The sequence below is a fragment of the Homo sapiens genome, chromosome 5, assembly GCF_000001405.40.
Source record: "Homo sapiens chromosome 5, GRCh38.p14 Primary Assembly".
Lineage (NCBI taxonomy): Eukaryota > Metazoa > Chordata > Mammalia > Primates > Hominidae > Homo > Homo sapiens.
In genome coordinates, this window is record NC_000005.10 from 37,361,298 (window position 1) to 37,385,310 (window position 24,013).

Here is a 24,013-nt window from a genome sequence, read left to right on the forward strand (position 1 = left end):
ACAGAAAAGGAGAGAGAGAGAGAGAAATAAAGATAACAGCTGAAAAAAATTCTAAAAATAATAGAAGACATCAAACTAAAGATCTAAGAAGCTCAGAGAACAAGAAGCAGAAAAAATACCACGAAAAAATATGATCTAGACTTTCAAGAAAGCTTCCAGTCATCCTGAAAAGGCCATCCACACAGGAACAAAATAGCTAAATGGCAACTTATGCGGACTAGGATTCCCCATCCTCTTACATCATGCCATTCCACAGGGCCCTTTGATAACTGGCACAGCCTCTTGGAACTACGATCCAATGCTGAGATATTTGGGGGTTAGAGAACAATGAAATGACCAAGATTACATTTTTATCATCCAGGTGGAATTAGGATTTATAATAGAAAGCCAATTGAATATTTAAACTAAGTATAAATTTTACAAAATTGAATTTGTGGACCTTGTGCCTTGATTTTTTAAAATAAGTACATTCTTCAAATAATTTTTCTTTAAATGAACACACACTGCTATGGATCAAATATCTGTGTCCTCCTAAAATTCATATTAAATCCTAACTCTTAATGTGATAGTATTTGTAGGTGGGGTCTTTGAAAGGTTATTAGGTCATGAGGGTATATCTCATGAATGGGATTAGTGCCCTTATAAAAGAGGACCCAAAGAACTCCCCTACCCCTCTGCCATGTGAGGACAGAGTGAAAAGATAGCCATCTATGAACATTGAAGTGGGCTTTCACCAGACCTTGATCTTGGACTTCCAGCTTCCAGAACCATGAGAAAGAAATTCATGTTGATCACAGGCTATGGTATTCTGTTTTAGCAGCTCGGACTAAGACACACAGTAAGGTAGGACTGTTTGTTCCATGAGGGCAGAACTACATTCATCTCATTCAGTACTGTTCCTACCACAACAACAGTGTCAGATACATAAGATCAATATGTATGTGTTAAATAAATATGTTGGATGTTAATGGAAATGTAAAAAATTTCATTAGTGTTTTTTTTTTTTTGAGATGGAGTTTTCCCTCTTGTTGCCCAGGCTGGAGTGCAATGGCGCGATCTCGGCTCACCACAACCTCCGCCTCCCAGGTTCAAGTGATTCTCCTGCCTCAGCCTCCCGAGTAGCTGCGATTACAGGCATGTGCCACCATGCCAGGCTAATTTTGTATTTTTAGTAGAGATGGGCTTTCTCCATGTTGGTCAGGCTGGTCTCGAACTCCCGACTGCAGGTGATCTGCCTGCCTTGGCCTCCTAAAGTGCTGGGATTACAGGCATGAGCCACCATGCCCAGCCGAAAACATATTTTAAAGAAAACAATTATTCTCACATTTATCTGTTCTGTAATATTTTTGCAATGACTTCTCTTGAAAAGATACATACCTAAACAAAAAAGGTTTCATTATTTAGTATAAAAATGAATATGTTATGGTAACATAACAAAGTGGGGAACATTCAGGGTACATGAAAAATAATCACAATCATACATCACTGCTATTACAACTATTACATTTCAACATGAAAAATTGCTACGAAACTTCTAGTAGAAAAAAATGGTTTCGTTTAAGCTATAGGTGTTAAGCTGTCATTTAGTTTCAATTTTGTTTCAATAATACAGTGTTTTGTTGTTGTTGTTTCTGAGATGGAGTCTCGCTCTGTCACTCAGGCTGGAGTGCAGTGGCACTATCTCAGCTCACTGCAACCTCCATCTCCCAGGTTCAAGCAATTCTCCTGCCTCAGCTCCCGAGTGGCTGGGACTACAGGCATGTGCCACCACACTTGGCTAATTTTTGTATTTTTAGTAGAGACAGGGTTTCTCCATGTTGGCCAGGCTGGTCTCGGACTCCTGACCTCAGGTGATCCACCCACCTCAGCCTCCCAAAGTGCTGGGATTATAGGCGTTTGAGTCAGCGTGCTCGGCCGATACAGTGTCTTTTTAATGCACGTGTGTTCCTAAAAAGATCATTAATTACTCAGGAACAAGAGTAACATCTTAATTATATGGGCTTTCCTATGTTTATCCCACACCTCATCTAAGGATAATGTAATGGACAACTGGAAGTAAAACAAAATCTATCTCTAAAAAGTCAACAGGGAGATCACCAGACCAACATGCTGTATTTAAGCAAAAGTACCTTAGGCTTTCACTCAGAATCATTTCTATACATATAATTTACACACGGGTCAAATTCACAAAATGACAACAAAATAAATAAATATCACATGCCTACTCCATAGAAATGCAAGGAAAACAGAAGTCTTTAAAAATGTCCAATCATCTCTCAATGAATTGCCAACATCTATTTTTACTACGGGCTAACAGCTTGGGACCCGGGCTCCTGCCACTCAAGAATGGCACCTAAACCAGCAGCAGCAGTTGGCAGCTTGTTAGAAATGCAGACTCTTGAGCCTCACTCAGGACTACTAAGACAGAATGCACATTTGAACATCTCCAGATGACTGATACTGAGAAGCACTGACCCAAAGGCTAGATGAATGAAAGATAAACCAAGCAGCTTCTAATGAGAACACTAGCTACAGTAAAGTTTATATAAATTCCAATCACCCTTAAAGCAAACCAGCCTTAAATACATACCCATCCTCATAGTTCCACATGAATATATCACTGTCAATTGTGAGCCAAGCTCTGCTGATAGGAGGGAACACACCCATCATGCAATTACACTGCATATCTGAGGTAGTGTGGATGTAAGGCAGACAGAGGTGAATCTTATTCTTCTTTAACTTGTTTCAATAGCTTTTGACTTAATATTTACGTAAAAAATCACAATGTGTCCACTCTTTAATACAACATGGAACCCATATACTTAAACGAATTTTAAATAAAACCCTTAAATGAATATATAACACATTAATTAAACATAGAACAAGAATTATAAGAATGAAAAATACCAATTTTAACATTTTTAAAATAAATACAAAGTAATAGGATACGTCCAAACTGCTCAACAAGTTCAGGTGGGAGAGGAACTCTTCGGATGGAACTGATCTCTGGAAGGTTGGGTACGGACAGCAAACCAGGTCCTTGCAAAGGATAATCCATATCTGACATGCCAGAAACGGTGGGATTATCTACAAAAAGAAAATGAAGTATTTATAATAATGTACTGCTCATCAACCGGGCAAACAAAAGGATTGAGTGCCACAAAAAAATTGTTGTGTGTTGGTTCCAAAGGTACAGAGAGAATATTCTAGTTTTGACCCAACACAAAGTAGTCCTGAAATATTCCCTTGTGAAGGTAGGAACAGTTACTGGTTTCAGGCCTAAAGGGAAAGTCATATCTCAAAAAACTTGCTCTGTAACAAAGGAAATGTTTATTTTATTTTATTTTTTTTTTTTTTGAGATAGAGTCTCGCACTGTCGCCCAGGCTGGAGTGCAGTGGCACAATCTCGGCTCACTGCAAGCTCCACCTCCCGGGTTCACGCCATTCTCCTGCCTCAGTCTCCCAAGTAGCTGAGACTACAGGCGTCCGCCACCACACCCGGCTAATTTTTTGTATTTTTAGTAGAAACGGGGTTTCACCGTGTTAGCCAGGCTGGTCTTGATCTCCTGACCTCATGATCCGCCCGCCTCGGCCTCCCAAAAGGCTAGGATTACAGGTGTGAGCCACCGTGCCCAGCTGGAAATGTTTAAATTTGATAATTTAGTGTTATTTTAAAATAAAAGTGGCTGGGCGCAGTGGCTCAAGCCTGTAATCCTAGCACTTTGGGAGGCCGAGGTAGGAGGATCATGAGGTCAGGAGTTTGAGACTAGCCTGGCCAACATGGTGAAACTCCATCTCTACTAAAGACACAAAAAATTAGCCTGCCTGGTGGCGTGCGCCTATAATCCCAGCTACTGCGGAGGCTGAGGCAGAACTGCTTGAACCCGGGAGGCGGAAGTTGCAGTGAGCTGAGATTGTGTCATTGCATTCCAGCCTGAGCGACAGGGCAAGACTCTGTCTCAAAAATAAATAAATAAATAAATAAACAAAATGAAAGCATGTAATTGTATTGTTTGTAACACAAAGGATAAATGCTTGAGAGGATAGATACCCCATTTTCCCTGATGTGATCATTTCACATTGCATGCCTGTATCAAAACATCTCATGCACCACATAAATATATACACCGTTGGGCGCGGTAGCTCACGCCTGTAATCCCAGCACTTTGGGAGGCAGAGGCAAGCCGATCACAAGGTCAGGAGTTCAAGACCAGCCTGGCCAAAATGGTGAAACCCTGTCTCCACTAAAAATACAAAAAAATTAGCCAGGCACAGTAGCAAGCACCTATAATCCCAGCTACTTGGGAGGCTGAGGCAGGAGAACTGCTTGAACCTGGGAGGCGGAGGCAGCAGTGAGCCAAGATCGTGCCACTGCACTCCAGCCAGGGTGACAGAGCAAGACTCTGTCTCGGGGAGAAAAAAAAAAAAAAAAAAAAAAAAAATATATATATATATACACACACACACACACACACACACACACACACACACACACAGACGCCTACTATGTACACACAAAATTAAAAATAAAAAAATTTAAAAATAATAATTTAGTGTTTTTCTATCATTTTGCTAATCTGAAATGGGAAAATATAAAACTGCTTTGGGGCTCAAAGGTAAAATGACTATAAGCAAACAAAATAATGACTGGGGGAAAATACTGCCTTTACCAGCTAAACATTTATAGATTAAAACAACCCATGACTTTTCCCTTTAGATTTATCCCCAAGACCACTAAGACAAATACAAATAATACCCCACAAGCAGTATCTTATTGGGGGGATAAAAACAAAGACTGCTCTATAAAGTGTTCTCATGGGCAACCTTTCTCTTGCTCTAAGACTCCATCACTAAGGACAGGAGTGGGCTGGTCTACTCAGCCTACCCTTGCTCCCGGACAAGGCGTTATTTAGACCTGACTGATGACCTACTTATCTCAGGCACTTTCTCAGGTTCTATAGAGTACAAAGATGTTAAGGAAAACTGACATATAAAACAATCTTGAAGTGTATTATGGAAATTTTTAAAATATATATAAGAAAAATACAATAAATACCCATGTACTGATTATCCAACTTAATAACCAGTAATATCCCCAATCATGTTTCATTTTTATCATTGTTCACTCCTTCCCCAATTATCTTTTTATTTTTATTTTTTGAGACGGAGTCTCGCTCTGACGCCAAGCTAGAGTGCATTGGCGCGATCTCAGCTCACTGCAACCTCCAATTCCCTGGTTCAAGGGATTCTCCTGCCTCAGACTCCCGGGTAGCTGGGATTACAGGCATGAGCCACCACGCCCAGCTAATTTTTGTAGTTTTAATAGAGACAAGGTTTCACCATGTTGGCCAGGATAGTCTCAATCTTTTTTTTTTTTTTTTTGAGACGGAGTCTCACAGGCTGGAGTGCAGTGGCCTGATCTCAGCTCACTGCAAGCTCCACCACCTGGGTTCAGGCCATTCTTCTGTCTCAGCCTCCCAAGTAGCTGGGACTACAGGCGCCTGTTGCCACGCCAGGCTAATTTTTTTATTTTTAGTAGAGACGGGGTGTCACCGTGTTAGCCAGGATGGTCTCGATCTCCCGACCTCGTGATCTGCCCGCTTCGGCCTCCCAAAGTGCTGGGATTACAGGCGTGAGCCACCGTGCCCGGCCGGTCTCAATCTCTTGACCTCGTAATCCGCCTGCCTTGGCCTCCCAAAGTGCTGGGATTACAGATGTGAGCCACTGCACCCGGCCGAACTCTTTTTCTCTTTTTTTTTTTTTCCTGAGACGGGGTTTCACTCTGTCGCCTTGGCTGGAATGCAGTGGTGCAATCACAGCTCAGGGCAACCTCAGCCTCTTGGGCTCAAGCAATCTTCCACCACAGCCTCGTGAGTAGCTAGGACTACAGTGTCATGACACCATGCCTAGCTAATTTTTTTTTTGTTTTTGGGGTTTTTTTTTGGGATGGGCTCTCGCTCTGTCGCCCAGGCTGTAGTGCAATGGCGGCTCACTGCAACCTCTGCCTCCCAGGTTCAAGAGATTCTCCTGCCTCAGCCTCCCGAGATGCCAGGACTACAGGAGTGTGCCACCACACCCGGCTAATTTTTGTATTTTTAGTAGAGACAGGATTTCGCCATGATGGCCAGGCTAGTCTCAAACTCCTGACCTCAAGTGATCCACTCACCTTTGCCTCCCAAATTGCTGAGATTACAGGAGTAAACCACCGAGCCCAGCCAAACAGCATTTTTCTTTTTCCTTTTTTTTTTTTTTTGAGACGGAGTCTCACTCTGTCGCCCAGGCTGGAATGCAGTGGCGCGATCTCGGCTCACTGCAAGCTCCGCCTCCCGGGTTCACACCATTCTCCTGTCTCAGCCTCCGGAGTAGCTGGGACTATAGGCGCCCGCCACCACGCCCGGCTAATTATTTTGTATTTTTAGTAGAGATGGGGGTTTCACCATGTTAGCCAGGATGGTCTCATCTCCTGACCTCGTGATCCGCCCACCTGGGCCTCCCATTTCTTTTGAGAAAGAGTCTCCCTCTATTGCCCTGGCTGGAGTACAGTGGCGCGATCTCGGCTCACTGCAACTTCCGCCTCCCTGGTTCAAGCGATTGTCCTGCCTCAGCCTCCTGAATAACTGGGATTACAGCCATGAGCCACCACACCCAGCTAATTTTTGTATTTTTAGTAGAGACGGGGTTTTACCACGTTGGTCAGGCTGGTCTTGAACTCCTAACCTCGTGATCTGCCACCTCAGCCTCCCAAAGTGCTGGGATTATGGGCGTGAGCCACCGCACCCAGCCACTTTTTGTAGAGACAGGGTTTTGCCATGTTGCTCACTCAGGCTGGTCTCAAACTCAAGCTCAAGTGATCCACCCCACTTCCAGGTCCCAAATTGCTAGGATTACAGGCATGAGGCACAGCGCCAGGCCTTTTTTTTTTTTTTTTTTTTTTTTTTTTGAGACAGGGTCTCACTCTGTTGCCCAGGCTGGAGTGCAGCGGCGCAATCACAGCTCCCTGCAGTCTCAACCTCCCCGTCTCAAGTTATCCTCCCACCTCAGCCTCCCAAGTAGCTGGGGGTCCAAGTGTGTGTCACCATGCCAAGCTAATTTTTGTATTATTGTATTTCTTTTCTTTAAGAGGCTGGGTTTTGCCATATTGCCAAGACTGGTCTCAAACTTCTGGGCTCAAGTAATCTGCCCACTTTGGCCTCCCAAAGTGCTGAGACTATTGGGCTGAATTCATATTAAAGCAAATCCAGGCTGGGCACAGTGGGTGACACCTGTAATCCCAACACTTTGGGAGGCCGAGGCGGGCGGATCACATGAGGTCAGGAGATCAAGACCAACCTGGCCAACACGGTGAAACCCTGTCTCTACTAAAAATAGAAAAATGAGCCAGTGGCGAACACCTATGATCCCAGCTACTCAGGAGGCTGAGGCAGGAGCATCGCTTGAACCTGGGAGGTGGAGGCCGTAGTGAGCCAAGATTATGCCAACTGCACTCCAGGCTGGGTGACAGTAAGACTCTGTCTCAAAAAATAAATAAATAAAGCAAATCCAGACATCCCATTTAATCCTAAAACATAACTTTAATAGGCCGAAGGTGGCAGATCACCATGTTAAATGGCAGTGGGAACACAGAGGGAGGAATCGATAACTTTAGTGAGGATGGGAATGCTACGAAAGACTTCAGGCCAGGAGTGTGACTTACATCTGTAATCTCAGCACTTTGGAAGGCTGAGGTAGGAGGACTGCTTGATGCCAGGAATTTGAGACCAGCCTTGTAACAGAGTGAGACTACGTCTCTACATAAAAATTAAAAATTAGCTGGGTGTGGTGGCAGGCGCCTGTAGTCCCAGCTACTGGGGAGGGCAAGGCGGGAGGACCACTTGAGCTCATGAGTTAGAGGCTGCAATGAGCTGTGATCATGCCACTGCACTCCAGCCTGGTAACAGAACTAGACCTTGACTCAAAAAAAAAGAACAAGAAAAAGAAAGACAACAAAGAGAAACTAAGGACTTTCACAGGGAGTCTGGAAAAAGTTTGTCAGGCAAAAAAAGAACATTGCAGAAACAATAAAAGTAAGATAAAATCCTGAGGAAATCCTGAAGATGGGGCTTCTTACGGAAAATATGCTAAATTCTCTGTAATCAGAGCAACGGATGAAAAATTGGATGGAAAAGAAGGGGAAGAGACTGGGTGAAAGAGGAAGGTGTGTGTAAAGGCATGAGATATGTAAGAGAAGGACCAGAATGCATGCACTGTTTTTATATCTTGTTTTCACACCTAAGGAGGCCAAAATGAGTAATGTTGTTCAAGATGATAATTGCTAATAGGCCAATCAGGTATTATAAGACACGCTCATTGGTAAGTAGCTGTAGGGAGCAAATACTATCTTTGTTTCTATCATTTCTTTGATTACAAAGCTATCAATGATTTTTATAAATAATCAGAAGTGTTCTCGGTTTACACTGCACAAATTATCCTATTTAGATTACTTTGGTTCTTGCTCACCAACAATCTTTTCTTTCTTACACTTCGCTGGTTTTCTCCAAATTCCATCTCACAAAGGGGTCACTTTTTCTAGCAACTGATGTAATTCCATAAGCCGTGGGGAGCTGGTTATAACTTAAAACTGTTAAACAAATTACTTTCCAGTCACCTATATTGTCAACACATATTCTGCCTTACTCTCCCTGTACATAAGCACTGTGATTTCCCTGTTCTCTTTCTTTATTCCACTGGTAGTTCTTTTAAGATCCTCCAGCATTTCATAACACACATCTCTACACATAATAAAGCGTTTCTTGGCCGGGTGCAGTGGCTTGCGCCTGTAATCCCAGCACTTTGGGAGGCCGAGGCGGGCGGATCACTTGAGGTCAGAGTTCGTGACCAGCCAGGCCAATATGGTGAAACCCCGTCTCTACTTAAAAAACACAAAAATTAGCCGGGCTTGGTGGCAGGCGCCTGTAATCTCAGCTACTTGGGAGTCTGAGGCAGAAGAATCGCTTGAACCCAGGAGGCGGAGGTTGCAATGAGCCGAGATCGCGCCATTGCACTTCAGCCTGGGCGAAGAGGGAACCGCTCCGTCTCAATAAATAAACAAATAAATATAAAGCAAAGCGTATCTTTAAGATAACATGCTAAATTTCCAAATTAACTTCGTTTGCTCTTACGATCTACTCAAACACTAACAGGAGAAATGAACAAATTTGGGACTTGGATCTGGAGATGCTTCTCATATGGCCTTAGCCATAAGCACTTGAGAGCGGCGAGAAGCTCATTAAGGTTGAGGTCTTTGCCTCTTTCTGCTTCAACTGGGAGCTTGCTCTTCACTCTTGCCCTCTCAAGTATCTACAATGAAGAAAGTGAGGAAAGGAAAAAACCTGAAAAGAAGCTGCTTGCTGTTCTCCAAAAATGCAGCCAACAGTGCCATAAATCTCAGCATATCCTCGCCGGGACCAACGCTGGGGATAAGTAGCAAATTAGGAAGTCAGGCGAGAGTCCTTTAGGTTGAGAAAGCAGGGTCACTATCACTCACTTGGGGCAGACACCATAAGCAGCTCGGAAAGGTCCGGGTACATGCGGTCCTCTTGCAACTGACGGTCGATGAGCCGTCCAGCATTTTCCAGAGCTTCCTGCAGGGCTGCGGCAGATGTAGAGGCCGGCATCGCCGCGCCCAACAAAGAAGACGGCATCTCGGAAATCGTAGACACCAGGGTCCAGAAAAAGTCAAAAACCAAGGAGAAACAAGAAAAGATCCAAGAAGTTAGCTTAGATCCGCCGCCTAGGGCGCGCGCGCCAAACGAGCGCCTTGGCGCCTCGACATGACGCACTTCCGCTTCATCCGGTGGGGAACTGGAAGACGCCGTTCTGGCCTGGGAAGAGGAAGCTGTTGGGAGGGGGCTAGAGGTTGTGGGTGGAGCTAGGAGGCTGCTGATGCTTTCGAGGGGGTTGAGGGTTTTGGGGTGTGGCAGGGTAAAATTAGGGTAGGTTATTTAGGGAAGGGAGGGAGGGAAAGGAAGGGAAGGATAAAGGGGAGGGAACAGGGAAGGAGAGGGGCGGGATGGGGTTGGATAGGGTGAGGAGGAAGGAGGGAGGAGGGATACGGTAGGTGGGAGCTAGGTCGTGTGTCTGGCCTAGGAGGTTGGTCAGGTTCCGTTGGTTTAAGCGCGTGCTCGACCTGAGTCTTGGAACTTCCCGCGTCGGTATCCGCTAACTGCAGCTATATGAGTTCGCGCATGAGCGCGCAGTTTGGTTCTCCAAGTAACTGCTTTTGTGAGAGTAGTTAAGAATTGGTAGGTCGCTGTCACAGAGAGGGATATAAACCAGTATCTCACTATATTCTTCGCGGGCTTCAGTGTAAATTAGAATTCATCAGGCTTTTCCATTTGCGTGTCGCTGTCTTTTGACTTTGTTGCCCCTTAGTATAAAATACGTGTTTAAGAAGAAGCTGAGTGCAGGTGGACCGCTGCCGTGCTTTTTATCGTGGCAGAGATAGCAGACAGTTCTAATTCATCTTTCCATTCCCAGCGCTAGTATAGGAACTCGTATGAGATAGGAACCCAAGAGTTCATACAATCCTAAGAAACTGAATACTTGCCTTGTGCCTGGTGCTGGGACTATCAAACTAACACAGTGTTTCCTGTCCTTAAGGTGCTTCAAGCAGAGACAAAGGGCTTCATTATAATTTTTCTATTTGGATAGGTATAAACTATAGCAGGATAGGAGAAAGCAGAGAGGTAAAAGAGGCTTCATTTACTACAGAAGGCAACCTGAGTGGGTAAATCAAAGCACTTTTTAGAAAGCTGCTCTTATTTAGAATCTCACCTAAGAAAGCTTCCAGTTATGTTCTTCAGAATTTCACAAATCAATAACTGAATTACTCTAAATTGGTCTTTTGCTATTTGAATTACATTTTTACTCCCTCAAAGACTTGACTACATTTCTGAAAATTGAAAGTTCTTTGATGTTACCAATCTACACTTAAAATTTGACATAGCCAATATACCAAGAAAAACTGGATTTTTTATCATTGGTATATAGATAGGCAGTTGGGTCTCTAGCTGTGAGTTTACTTTATTTGGTAGACCATAGATTGAAAAGTGGTGGTCTGGCACCGAGTTTGTTTTTAATTTGAGACAAAATACACAAAGTTTTCAACTCCATAAATTGGAAGATTCAACAACGTTGCTGTGATATTCCTGCATAGAAGTAAAGCTCCCCAAAGTGTAATCTAACTAACTTAATTCATTGGCATATTGCCTATGCTTTCCCACTACAACTGCTAAACCGAGTAATTTCTACAAAAGACTGCAAAGCCTTAAATACGGACTCTGGCACTTTACAGGAAAAGTTTGCTGACCTCTTCCCTAGAACAGATAATTATGAATTTTTTTGGTCTTAGGACCCCCTTGATACCCTTAAAAATTATTCAGGATTCCAGAGAGTTTTTGTTTCATGTTGGTTACATCTATTAATATTTGTGAATAACTCAAACTGAAAATTAAAATGTTTAACATTGTATTTAAAAGAGTAACAAGGCCGAGCACAGTGGCTCACACCTGTAATCCCAGCACCCAGCACTTTGGGAGGCCAAGGCAGGTGGATCACAAGTTCAGGAGTTGGAGACCAGCCTGGCCAATATGGTGAAACCCCGTCTATACTAAAATACAAAAATTAGCTGGGCGTGGTGGCGTGCGCCTGTAGTCTCAACTGTTCAGGAGGCTGAGCCAGGAGAATCACTTGAACCTAGGAGGCAGAGGTTGCAGTGAGTCGAGATCGTGCCACTGCACTCCACCCTGGGCAACAGAGTAAGACTCCGTTTCAAAAAAAAAAAAAAAAAGCATACCAAGCTTAATCCATGTTAATATAACACTTTTTTAAAATGAGAAATCACTATAGTTTCTAAAACAGGGAGAAGAATGCGATTATTTCATATTTTTGCAAATCTCTTTAGTGTCTGGCTCAGTAACGGATGGCTGGATTCTCATATCTGTATCTGCTGTCAATTGAAGAAAAATAACCCTCTTTTAAAGAATTAAAGTCAGTTTGATTCAGACTCAGGATTGCAACCTTTCAGAGAGTTTCTGTTAAGACTGCTCCAAAGTAGCTTTTAGCCCACAGCTTACATGTCAGGGGTTGGAAGCTCTGCATGTGCTCAGAAATTACATTAAACATGCTCATAAACTGGGTATAGTGACTCACACCTGTAATTCTAGCACTTTGAGAGGCCTATGCATGAGGGTCTCTTGAGGCCAGGCATTCAAAACCAACCTGGGCAGCCAGGTGTGGACCTGTAGTCCCAGCTACTTGGTGGGCTGAGGCAGGAGCATCACTTTAGCCCAGGAGTTCCAGGTTGCAGTGAGCCATGACCATGCCACTGCATTCTAGTCTGGTTGATAAAGGGAGACTCTGTCTCTAAAAAAAAAAAAAAAAAAAAAAAAAAAAGCTCATAAATTACATTAGAGCAAAATCTCATCAAAGTTTGGGTGTAAGAGTACATCTGGTTATAGATTACAGAGGCATAATCATGAATCCTATGGGACACTATCTTATGTACTGGAAGAGGCAAGGGGTAGGAACACTGAACTTACCTTTTTTTAAAAAATGCATTGATTGAAGCAAGAGACGTGGGAACCTGTGCTCTAACCTGCTTATTGTTTCCAGGGCATTCTTCTAGAAGTCTATACTTAGTCACTGAGTTGGGCTTTGTGAAATTCTGCTGGCAAGCAGAATGAGCAAACTTGGTTTTTTATGTTTGCTACTTTGTCTAACATGTCAACATTTTGTGACTTATTTAGTTGAAGTATAATATATTAATATTAAGAAAAGCTGGCCTCACCAGGCGCGCTGGCTCACACCTGTAATCCCAGCACTTTGGGAGGCCGAGGCGGGTGGATTGCCTGAGGTCAGAGGTTCGAGACTAGCCTGGCCAACATGGTGAAACCCCGTTTCTACTAAAAATACAAAAATCAGTGGGGCATGGTGGCGCAAGCCTGTAATCCCGGCTACTTGGGAGGCTAAGCCAGGGGAATTGCCCGAACCTGGGAGGCGGAGGTTGCAGTGAGCTGAGATCGTGCCATTGCACTCCAGCCTGGGCTACAAGAGCGAAACTCTGTCTCAAAAAAAAAGAAAGAAAGAAAGAAGGAAAAACTGGCCTCAGTTACATATTTAGAAAAAGAAGAAGTATTTTAATAATTGTCAACAAGTGCAGTCAGTTTTTTTTTTTTTTTAAACAGAGTTTTGCTCTTGTCGCCTAGGCTGGGGTGCAATGGTGCGATCTCAGCTCATTGCAACCTCTGCCTCCCAGGTTCAAGCAATCCTCCTGCTTCAGCCTCCTGAGTAGCTGGAATTACAGGCTAATTTTCTTTTCTTTATTTTTTTTTTTTGAGATGGAGTTTTGCTCTTGTTGCCCAGGTTGGAGTGCAGTGGCATGATCTCTGTTCACTGCAACCTCTGCCTCTCAGGTTCAAGCAATTCTGCCTCAGCCTTCCGAGTAGCTGGGATTACAGGCACATACCACCATGCCCAGCTCATTTTTTTGTATTTTTAGTAGAGACGGGGGTTTTACTATGTTGGTCAGGCTGGTCTTGAACTCCTGACCTCAGGTGATCCACCCGCCTTGGCCTCCCAAAGCGCTGGGATTACAGACGTGAGCCACCGCACCCAGCTACGCCTGGCTAATTTTCTGTATTTTTAGTAGAGACGGGGTTTCACCATGTTGGCCAGGCTGGTCTCGAACTCCTGGCCTTGGGTGATCCTCCCACCTCGGCTTCCAAAGTGCTGGGATTACCCGTGTAAGCCACCATGCCTGACCTGTTTTTCTTAAAGTGATAAACTCATTTCATTTATTTTTGAAAAAATGTTTGCCAAATACTTAAATATGAACAACTGTACTTTGTGAGTCATTCTTTCAGGTAAAAATAATGTTCCATGAAAAAAGCTAACCACTCAATTACAAGTGGTTTTCTTTTCGATGACCATTCTACTTAGATATGCATTAGCTGGGCATGGTGGCGTATGCCTGTGGTCCCATCTACTCAGGAAGCTGAGGCAGGGGAAGATCGCTTGAGTCCAGGAGTTTGAGGCTAAAGTGCTTCATGACTGAACTTGTAAATAGCCACTGCACTCCAGTCTGGGTAACACAGTGAGACCCCATCTGTAAGAAATTTTTTTAAAAACATACTTTATGATTACTTCTCATTTTGTCATACTGAAGGTTAAAAAGACGTATAATTAAGGGTCAGGGTTTAACGAAATGAATACTGTTTATGGCTTTATTAAGGATATTCCTAAGGGAAACTGATTTTGCTTACAACGCCTATGTAACTGAAAAATACAGTGACTACTACAACATTTTGAATCCTACTGCCTTGATTTATTTTAAGGGACTGTTTTAATTTAGGAATTTTAAGATAGAGCATGCTTCTTCAATGATTAGTAGAAACACAGATATAAACAAAGATTTTATTACTTACATGCCTGGCGGGGCATCTGGCGCACCTGGAGGTCAAGGAATGCAGTCAGGGAAAGACAAAGAGGGACTCATGAGCCAATGCATTTATTGGGTTCATGGTGTTTTCCAAATAGATTTCCCAAGAGGAATTCCCACACTTTAATTGGTGGGTTTAAAGCAAGCATGCACAAATTTGAGGACAAGCTTGTCAGCCCAGAATGGCTTTGAATGTGGCCCAACACAAATTCGTTAACTTTCTTAAAACATTGTGAGATTTGTGATTTTTTTAAAGTTCTCAGCTGTTGTTAGTGTATTTAATGTGTTGCCCAAGACAATTCTTCTTCTTCCATTGTGGCCTAGGGAAGCCAAAAGATTGGACACCCCGTTCTTGGAAGTCATGCTGTGACCGAGGTAGTCACTGTGGCATATCTGCACAGTCCATGTAGGACGTCAGTGTCAGCAGGGCCGGTGAAGTAGGCTGTATGTATTTATCCTATGGGGAGGCGGGCACCAGGAGGAAGTTTTACACAATAGATACCTGGATTGATCACATTGAGGAACTGGGAGGAGGTGTAGAACTAGAAACGGTGTCAAGGGTGACTGAACCCTGTTTCTGATATGAGAAAGTCCAACTTATATTCAAAATAAATGCTAAGACAACATAAAATTGTAAGAATTTGGCCGGGCGTGGTGGGCCACGCCTGTAATCCCAGCACTTTGGGAGGCCGAGGCCGGCAGATTGCCTGAGGTCAGGAGTTAGACACCAGCCTGACCAACATGGGGAAACCCCATCTCTACTAAAAATACAAAAAAAATTGGCCGGTCTGGTTGCGCATGCCTGTAATCCCAGCTACTCAGGAGGCTGAGGCAGGAGAATCGCTTGAACCTGGAAGGCAGAGGTTGCAGTGAGCCAAGATTGCGCCATTGCAATCCAGCCTGGGCAACAACAGCGAGACTCTGTATCAAAACCAAAAAAACAAAAAAACGAATACACTACAGGCACCGTAGATTTACCCACTGTTAACCCATTTCCCATTTTCCCTGAGAATACTCTCTGATGGTGCTTGCAGCTGCAGCCTTTACCCCAAGATAACTCACAGATTACAGTCCCGACTTAACCCCCAAAGTTTGTGTCTACTATTTTATTATTTTTGCATCACTCTATTATATTGACTTTGGAAACAAAAGACATTATTCTATTTATAGCATTCTGTTTTTAGTAGTGGAATTTCCATTTACAAAATATAGTAATTCTCGACTGCTGAAAATGTCAAATCCTAGAAAACATAGCATTCCTATGTGTGATGTTAATTCCATGGTGAACTTATGGCACTGAAATGGTGTGACAACAAGGCAGTCACAATGTTGTCAATATTCCACAATGATACTGTGATTGAAGTAGACAACAGATGGAAAGAAAACTAAGAAGCCATGTGTCATTGTGGATTATAACGATAATATGGGAGCAGTGGACTTGGCTGATCAGATGCTCACTTCTTATCCAGCTTAGCGCCAAAGGTACAAGGTTTGGTATAAGATATTCTTTCATAGGCTGTGTGCAGTGGCCCACGCCTGTAATCCTAGCACTTAGGGAGGCTGAGGCGGGTGGATCGCTTGAGCTCAGGAGTTCAAGACCAGCATGGGCAACATGATGAAACCCTATCTCTACAAAAAATACAAAAATTAGGCCGGGCACAGTGGCTCACGTCTGTAATCCCAGCACTTTGGGAGGCTGAGGCGGGCATATCACTTGAGGTCAGGAGTTTGAGACCAGCCTGGCCAACATGGTGAAACTCTGTCTCTACTAAGAATGCAAAAATTAGCCAGGGGTGGTGGCAGGGCCTGTAATCCCAGCTACTCGCAAGGCTGTGGCAGAATTGCTTGAACCCAGGAGGCGGAGGTTGCAGTGAGCTGAGATCGCGCCACTGCACTCCAGTCTGGGCAATGGAGCGAGACTCTGTCTCAAAAAAAAAAAAAAAAGTCGGGTGTGGTGGCGGTCACATGTAATCCCAGCTACTTAGGAGGCTGAGGCACAAGAATCGCTTGAACCCAGGAGGTGGAGGTTCATTGAGCCGAGATTGTGCCACTGCATTCCAGCCTGGGTGACAGAGTGAGATTCTGTCTCAAAAAGAAAGAGATTCTTCTCCACCTTCTAAACGTTAAAGTGTTGAACTCCCACATTCTGTTTAAGAAGGACAATCCTGAGCACACGATTAGCCTTGTAAACTTTAGACTGACAGGCCAGGTGCAGTGGCTCACGCCTTTAATCGCAGAACTTTGGGAGGCTGAGGTGGGCAGATCACAAGGTCAGGAGATTGAGACCATCCTGGCTAACACGGTGTAAACCCTGCCTCTACTAAAAATAGAAAAAATTAGCTGGGCGTGGTGGCGGGTGCCTGTAGTCTCAAATACTAAATAGCCGGGCATGGTGGCGCACACCTGTAGTCCCAGCTGCTCGGGAGGCTGAGGCAAGAGAATCGCTTGAACCTGGGAGGCAGAGGTTGCAGTCAGCTGAGATCACGCCACTGCACTCCAGCCAAGGCAACAGAGGGAGACTCAGTCAACAACAACAACAACAACAACAAAAAGGCAGAGCGCGGTGGCACGGGGCCTGTAATCCCAGCACTTTGGGAGGCCAAGGTGGGCAGATCACCTGAGGTCAGGAGTTCAAGACCAGCCTGGCCAACATAGCAAAACCCCGTCTCTACTAAATACACAAAAATTAGCCGGGTGTGGTGGCAGGCGCCTGTAATCCCAGCTACTCAGGACACTGAGGCAAGAGAAGAGCTTGAACCTGGGTGGCAGAGGTTGCAGTGAGCCGAGATCACGCCATTGCACTCCAGCCTGGGCAACAGAGTGAGACTCTGCCTCAAAAAAAAAAAAAAAAAAAAAAAAAGCAAAGGGTGTCGCCTGTAATCCCAGCACTTTGGGAGGCCGAGGCAGGCGGATCACTTGAGGCCAGGAGTTCGAAACCAGCCTGGCCAACATGGCAAAACGTCGTGTCTACTAAAAATACAAAAAATTAGCTGCGCGTGGTGGTGGACGCCTGTAATCCCAGCTACTTGGGAGGCTGAGACAGGAGAATCGCTTGAACCCGGGAGGCGGAGGTTGCAGTGAGCCGAGATCACGCCATTGCACTCCAGCCTGGGCGACAGAGGCTCCGTCTCAAAACAAAAACAAAAACAAAAAAAAAACAAACCAAAACAAAAAACCAAAAATTAGCCGGCACCTGTAATCCCAGCTACTCGGGAGGCTGAGGCAGGAGAATCGCTTGATCCCGGGAGGCAGAGGTTGCAGTCAGCTGAGATTACGCCACTGTACTGCAGCCTGGGCGACAGAGGCTCTGGCTTAAAAAAAAAAAAAAAAAAAGGGAAAGGATGTTATAGAAACTCCAGATACTACTTCTCCCCTCCAGTGGTCTGAGTTGCGCGGCGCTTTCCCGCCTGTCCGGTAGGGCGGTGCCGCGCAGAAAGCCGCGGTCCCTCTGCGGAAGGCGCCGCTCTTGGCTTCGGCGGCGCCGCTGTAGCTTGAAGGCGGTACTTCCTCCAGCATTTGCCGCAAGTTATTGGCAAGTTCCCCTGCAGTTGTTTGGGCTGTCCCTGTGGCTGGTTCTGGGGTGTGCGGCCAGCCATGGAGCGCTCTGGGCCCAGCGAAGGTGGGTTTCATGAGGCGAGTCCGGGCGGGGTGGGCCGTGTCGGGGGAGCTGGGGCGCCGCACTAACTAGGCCGCCTCTCTTTTCCTCTTGCTCCAGTGACAGGCTCAGACGCGTCGGGACCGGACCCGCAGCTTGCGGTCACCATGGGCTTCACGGGGTTCGGTGAGTGACTGCCCCAGGCAGAGACCCTCTTCCTTGTGCAGAGGTTTGAAGATCCGCAGAGTGGGAGTGGAGATCGAGCTGTCAACTCGGAATTATTGTAGCTCGGGTGCATACCTTGCAGTTTGTCAATATTCTTCTCCCATTTGTCTTCTATTCTGCGTTATCCGTTGGAACCAACTCAGATGACAGTTATGAGAGTCTGGAGAGAGAGGAAGAGAAAGGATTTTTCTAATTTTAAGTCACCAATAATGCTAAAATGAACATTTTTGTAAATAACAGCATTTGTACGAGGATTTTTAAAAATACGTAATTCGGTAGGGTAGATTTCTAAAAGAGAGTGTAGTTTATTCAGAAATATAAATACTTAAAAAGCTGAAAAATTGGGTATGTGCCTTTTAAAGCTTCTTGATGCTTATTGCCGTAATACCCATCAAAAAACTTGTTCCAGGTTATACCAAAGTTAACAGAATTAAGAATGCCATTTTTACCATATCCCTACCAACACAGAGTAGGTATTATTATTTAAAAAGAAAATTATTTAAAAAATGAAAACAAAACTTAGTAGACTGATACATGAAAAATGATTTCTCTTTATTTTCCATTTTAAAATTATAAATGCTGTTCATCCAAACATTGGGATTCTAACTTCCCTGAACCTTTTCTCAAGGTCTTCTTGTTTTCTTTTGACCAGCGTGTATTAATTCTATGATAGTAATTAAACAGTAGACTTACACATATTGGCCTTGGGTTGTGTTCACACATACTAGTTCTGTAGTTTCTCTATTCATTCTTTTTTTTTTTGGAGACGGAGTCTCGCTCAGTCGCCCAGGCTGGAGTGCGGTGGCAAGATCTCGGCTCACTGCAATCTCTGCCTCCCGGATTCACGCCATTCTCCGGTCTCAGCCTCCCGAGTAGCTGGGACTACAGGCGCCCGCCACCTCGCCCGGCTGATTTTTTTTTTGTATTTTTAGTAGAGACAGGGTTTCACCGTGTTAGCCAGGATGATCTCGATCTCCTGACCTCGTGATCCGCCCGTCTCGGCCTCCGAAAGTGCTGGGATTACAGGCGTGAGCCACTGTGCCCAGCCTTTTCTATTCTTTTTTTATTTTTTGAGATGGAGTCTCGCTCTGTCACCCAGGCTGGAGTGTACTAGTGCGATCTTCGCTCATTGCAGCCTCCTCCTCCCAGGCTTAAGCCATCCTCCCACCTTAGTCTCCTGAGTAGCTGGGACCACAGATGTGTGCCACCACACCTGGCTAATTTTTTATACTTTTGGTAGAGACGAGGTTTCACCATGTTGCCCAGGCTGATCAATCTCCTGAGCTCAAGCAGTCCGCCCACCTGAGCCTCTCAAAGTGATTACAGGCATGAGCCACCCCACCCGGTATAAATCCTTCATTTTAGTACATCATTCCTTTACTCAGGAGTGAGAAAGTTGTCCATATGTTTGTGCCAAATAGGGGAAAATTTTAAGAGTTTTGATAAAGTTACTGGGGGAGGAGGAGAATGTTTCCATGCTCATCCAGTTCCTTGTTAGAGGGCTGAGATTTCTGTTTCCCTCTTAGCTCCTTAAAGTACCTGCATTACTTCTCATGTTGCCCCTTTCGTCTTCAAGCCAACTATAATGCCTCAAATTCTTCTCAGACATTGGATCTCTCTGACTTCTTCTGCCATAGCTGTTCTGCATCTTTGCCTTTAAGGGCCAAATAGGATAGTTTCCCTATTTAAAAGTCCATAACCTTAATTATATTGCAAAGGGTAACTTTTGGGGCATTCTCCATTTTGCCTCCCCACATCAGTGTTGTTGTTTCATAGGGTAGGGATCTAGAGGAGGATGGGAAAGTTGCCTGGTTAATAGTACTTAGTGAAGGGATTGTCAGCAGAAGTTTTCTGTGACTCAAACTCCTTCTTCTGTGATATATTATGGTTATATTGGAGCCATGCTATAAACTAGACAAAGTAAGTGTTTATTGATCAGTATTGATCACCTAAAGTTTGGCCAACTTACTGCAAGACAATCACAGTCTCCCATTTGTTCATGTTTTAGGTAAAAAAGCTCGCACATTTGACTTGGAAGCAATGTTTGAACAAACTCGAAGGACAGCTGTGGAAAGAAGTCGCAAAACACTGGGTAAGAAGCTCAGATATTTGTTCTTTTATTGGTTTAAGTACTATGTATACCTCATGCAAGTATATTAAAAAAGAGAAAAGAATGTTGGCTGGGCGCGGTGGCTCATGCCTGTAATCCCAGCACTTAGGGAGGCCAAGGCGGGCAGATCACCTGAGGTCAGAAGTTTGAGACCAGCCTGGCCAACATGGTGAAACCCCATCTCAACTAAAAATACAATAATTAGCTGGGCATGGTGCAGGGGCCTGTAATCCCAGCTAGTCGTGAGGCTGAGGCAGTGGCTTCAGTTGAAGTCGGGAGGCAGAGGTTGCAGTGAGCTGATATACCCCCATTGCACTCCAGCTTGGGGGACAAGAGTGAAATTCCATCTCAGAGAACAAAGAGAGAAAAGAATGTTGTTATGCTACTTATCACTGTTGTTTTTTTTTTTTTTTGAGATGGAGTCTCGCCCTGTTGCCCAGGCTGGAGTGCAATGGCATGATCTCGGCTCACTGCAGCCTCCACCTCCCCGGTTCAAGCGATTCTCCTGCCTCTGCCTCCCGAGTAGCTGGGACTATAGGCACATGCCACCACGCCCAGCTAATTTTTTGTATTTTTAGTAGAGATGGGGTTTCACTGTGTTGGCCAGGCTAGTTTCGAACTCCTGACCTTGTGATCTGCCTACCTTGGCCTCCCAAAGTGCTGGGATTACAGACGTGAACCACTGTGCCCCGCTTTTTGTTTTTTTGTTTTGTTTTGTTTTGTTTTTGAGATGGAGTCTCGCTTTATTGCTGGGCTGGAGTGCAGGGGTGCGATCTTAGCTCACTGCAACTTCTACCTCCCCGGTTCAAGCAATTTTCCTGCCTCAGCCCCCCAGGTAGCTGGGACTACAGGTGTACGCCACCACGCCCAGCTAATTTTTGTATTTTTAGTAGAGATGGGGTTTCACCATGTTAGCCAGGATGGTCTTGATCTCTTGATCTTGTGATCTGCCTGCCTCCTAAAGTGCTGGGATTACAGGTGTGAGCCACCGCACCCGGCCCAATTTATCATTTTAAGACCAACAATGGGCCAGGTGTAATGGCTCATGCCTGTAATCCCAGCACTTTGGGAGGCTGAGGCAGGTGAATCACGTAAGGTCAGGAGTTCGTGACCAGCCTGGCCAACATGGTGAAACCCCGTCTTGACTGAAAATAGAAAAACTATCTGGGTGTGGTGTTGGGCCCCTGTAATCCCAGCTAGTAGGGAGGGTGAGGCAGGAGAATCGCTTGAACCTGGGAGGCAGAGGTTGTGGTGAGCTGAGATCGCACCATTGCACTCCAGCCTGGGCGACAAAAGCAAAACTCCATCTCAAAATAAAAAAAATAAAATAAAATAAAATGGGCGACAAGAGCAAAACTCCATCTTAAAATAAAATAAGATAAAATAAAATATAAAATATAAAACAAAATAACTAAAATAAAAAATAAAACGTTGTACAGCAGCAATATCCAGTATTTGGCAGTGTGCCTGACAAAAAATATTTTCAGTCTTTGGAAGAAAACTTTTTGTGGTGAAAAGAAAGCCATCTACATGTACTATTTTTTGAAAAAAACCTTTCATTATTTGTTTTATTTGAGACGGAGGCCTGCTCTGTCGCCCAGGCTGGAGTGCAATGGCGTGATCTCAGCTCACTGTGACCTCCGCCTCTTGGGTTCAAGTGATTCTCTTGCCTCAGCCTCCTGAGTAGCTGGGATTACAGGTGACCACCACCACGCCTGGCTAATTTTTTTGTATTTTTAGTGGAGACGGGGTTTCGCCATGTTGGCCAGGCTGGTCTCGGACTTGTGACCTCAGGTGATCCGCCCGCCTCGGCCTCCCAAAGTGCTGGGATTACAGGTGTGAACCACTGTGCCAGGCCAAAACCCATCATTATTATTATTATTGTTATTTTTTTGAGATGGCGTCTCGCTCTGTCGCCCTGGCTGGAGTGCAGTGGTGCGATCTTGGCTCACTGCAAGCTCCGCCTCCCGGGTTCATGCCATTCTCCCGCCTCAGGCTCTGGAGTAGCTGGGACTACAGGTGCCTGCCAACACGCCTGGCTAATTTTGTTTTTGTGTTTTTAGTAGAGATGGGGTTTCACCGTGTTAGGCAGGATGGTCTCGATCTCCTGACCTCGTGATCCACTCGCCTTGGCCTCCCAAAGTGCTGGGATTACAGGTGTGAGCCACTGCACCCAGCAAAACCCTTCATTATTATGTGAAATTTCAAACACGGAAGTATAGTCATGAACTACCATGTACCTATCAATCAGATTTAACTACTGTAACAGTTCATGGCTAGCATTACTTCGTTTCCCCTTTCAGATGATTTCGAAGCAAATCTTGGACATCATTTTACTCATAAATATTTTTGTATATACCTTAAAACGATAAGGATTGTTTTAAAAAAAGCTTAACCAAGATACCTGTAAGAGATAGGAAAAACCAAGTTGTTTCCTATCCTCTAGCACTCCTCTCAGTACTTTCCCCCCTTTTTTTTTTTTTTTTTTTTTATTTGAGACAGGGTCTCACTGCTGTTGCTTAGACAGGTGTGCAGTGGCATGACCTTGCCTCACTGCAGACTCCACTTCCCAGGCTCAGGTAATCCTGCCACCTCAGCCTCCCAAATAGTTGGGACTATAGGTTGGTGCTACCACACCCCACTAATTTTTTGTATTTTTAGTTGAGATAGATTTCACCATGTTGGCCAGGCGCAGTGGATCACGCCTGTAATCCCAGCACTTTGGGAGGGGCGGATCACGAGGTCAGGAGATTGAGACCATCCTGGCTAACATGGTGAAACCCTGTCTCTACTAAAAATACAAAAAATTAGCTGGGCGTGGTGGCGGGCGCCTGTAGTCCCAGCTATTTGGGAGGCTGAGGCAGGAGAATGGCGTGAACCCTGGAGGCAGAGCTTGCAGTGAGCCGAGATCTTGCCACTGCACTCCAGCCTGGGCGACAGAGTGAGACTCTTGTCTCAAAAAAAAAAAAAAAAAAAAAAAAAAATTTCACCATGTTGTCCAGGCCAGTCTTGAATTCCTGGGCTCAAGTGATCCACCTGTCTTGGCCTTCCAAAGTGCTAGGATTACAGGTGTGAACCAGTACTTTATTTCTGACACCAGATATGTAGGAGTTTTCCCCCACACATCAACCAGTTCTCCAACTGGGTATCCGGTAACTCAGTTTAATTCTGACACCGTCTGCCTGGAGACTACCACAAGACTGCCTTCACTCAGACACTAATCTCAATTCACAGGTTGTGACCAGTGCTTCTAATCTACTGGCTATAAATCAGGGTTCCCATGACCGCTCTTTTTGGTTTGATAATTAGCTAGGACGGCTCACAGGGAAACACTTTACTTGCGTTTAACAGTTTATTATAAAGAATATTATAAATGATACAGATGAACAGCCAGATGAAGTAATGCACTGGGCAAGGTATGGGGTGGGAGAGGTGCAGAGCTTCTGTGCCCTCTCTGGGTGCACCAACTCCCCAGCATACCCCTGTGTTCAGCTACCCTGAAGCTAATCACATCTAGTGGTTCAGGAGTGTCTAGGCTGGGTGCAGTGGCTCACACCTATAATCCCAGCACTTTGGGGGACCAAGGTAGGAGGATCACTTGAGCCCA

General features: G+C 44.8%; 2 protein-coding genes across 10 annotated transcripts in view, besides 2 other annotated features; one reads left to right on the plus strand and one right to left on the minus strand.

The window, feature by feature from the left end:
* NUP155 (nucleoporin 155) overlaps positions 1-9,809 on the minus strand; it is an 82,970-nt gene extending 73,161 nt beyond the window's left edge. For 5 of the 6 annotated variants that reach the window (NM_001278312.2, NM_153485.3, XM_047417934.1 and 2 more), the window contains exons 1-3: positions 9,524-9,809; positions 2,950-3,087; positions 2,591-2,687 (exon numbers count right to left, since the gene is read on the minus strand). In NM_001278312.2, coding sequence (NP_001265241.1) covers positions 2,591-2,687; positions 2,950-3,087; positions 9,524-9,680 — 392 coding nt within the window. In that variant the 5' untranslated portion in view covers positions 9,681-9,809. Of the gene's footprint in view, positions 1-2,590; positions 2,688-2,949; positions 3,088-9,368 lie in introns of all 6 variants that reach the window. The other variant, NM_004298.4, reaches the window with a different exon arrangement.
* Positions 9,482-9,591: an enhancer, noted in NCBI's record as "active region_22486". NCBI's record gives its function as "activates an Ori minimal core promoter by ATAC-STARR-seq in GM12878 lymphoblastoid cells {active_cell/tissue: GM12878}" and the evidence as "EXISTENCE:reporter gene assay evidence [ECO:0000049][PMID:35858748]".
* Positions 9,712-9,801: an enhancer, noted in NCBI's record as "active region_22487". NCBI's record gives its function as "activates an Ori minimal core promoter by ATAC-STARR-seq in GM12878 lymphoblastoid cells {active_cell/tissue: GM12878}" and the evidence as "EXISTENCE:reporter gene assay evidence [ECO:0000049][PMID:35858748]".
* The window catches only part of WDR70 (WD repeat domain 70), a 374,118-nt gene continuing 368,125 nt past the window's right edge, over positions 18,021-24,013 (plus strand). For 2 of the 4 annotated variants that reach the window (NM_018034.4, NM_001345998.2), the window contains exons 1-3: positions 18,021-18,095; positions 18,192-18,257; positions 20,305-20,388. In NM_018034.4, coding sequence (NP_060504.1) covers positions 18,071-18,095; positions 18,192-18,257; positions 20,305-20,388 — 175 coding nt within the window. In that variant the 5' untranslated portion in view covers positions 18,021-18,070. The remainder of the gene's footprint in view (positions 18,096-18,191; positions 18,258-20,304; positions 20,389-24,013) is intronic. The other 2 variants (NM_001345999.2, XM_047417348.1) reach the window with 1 other exon arrangement.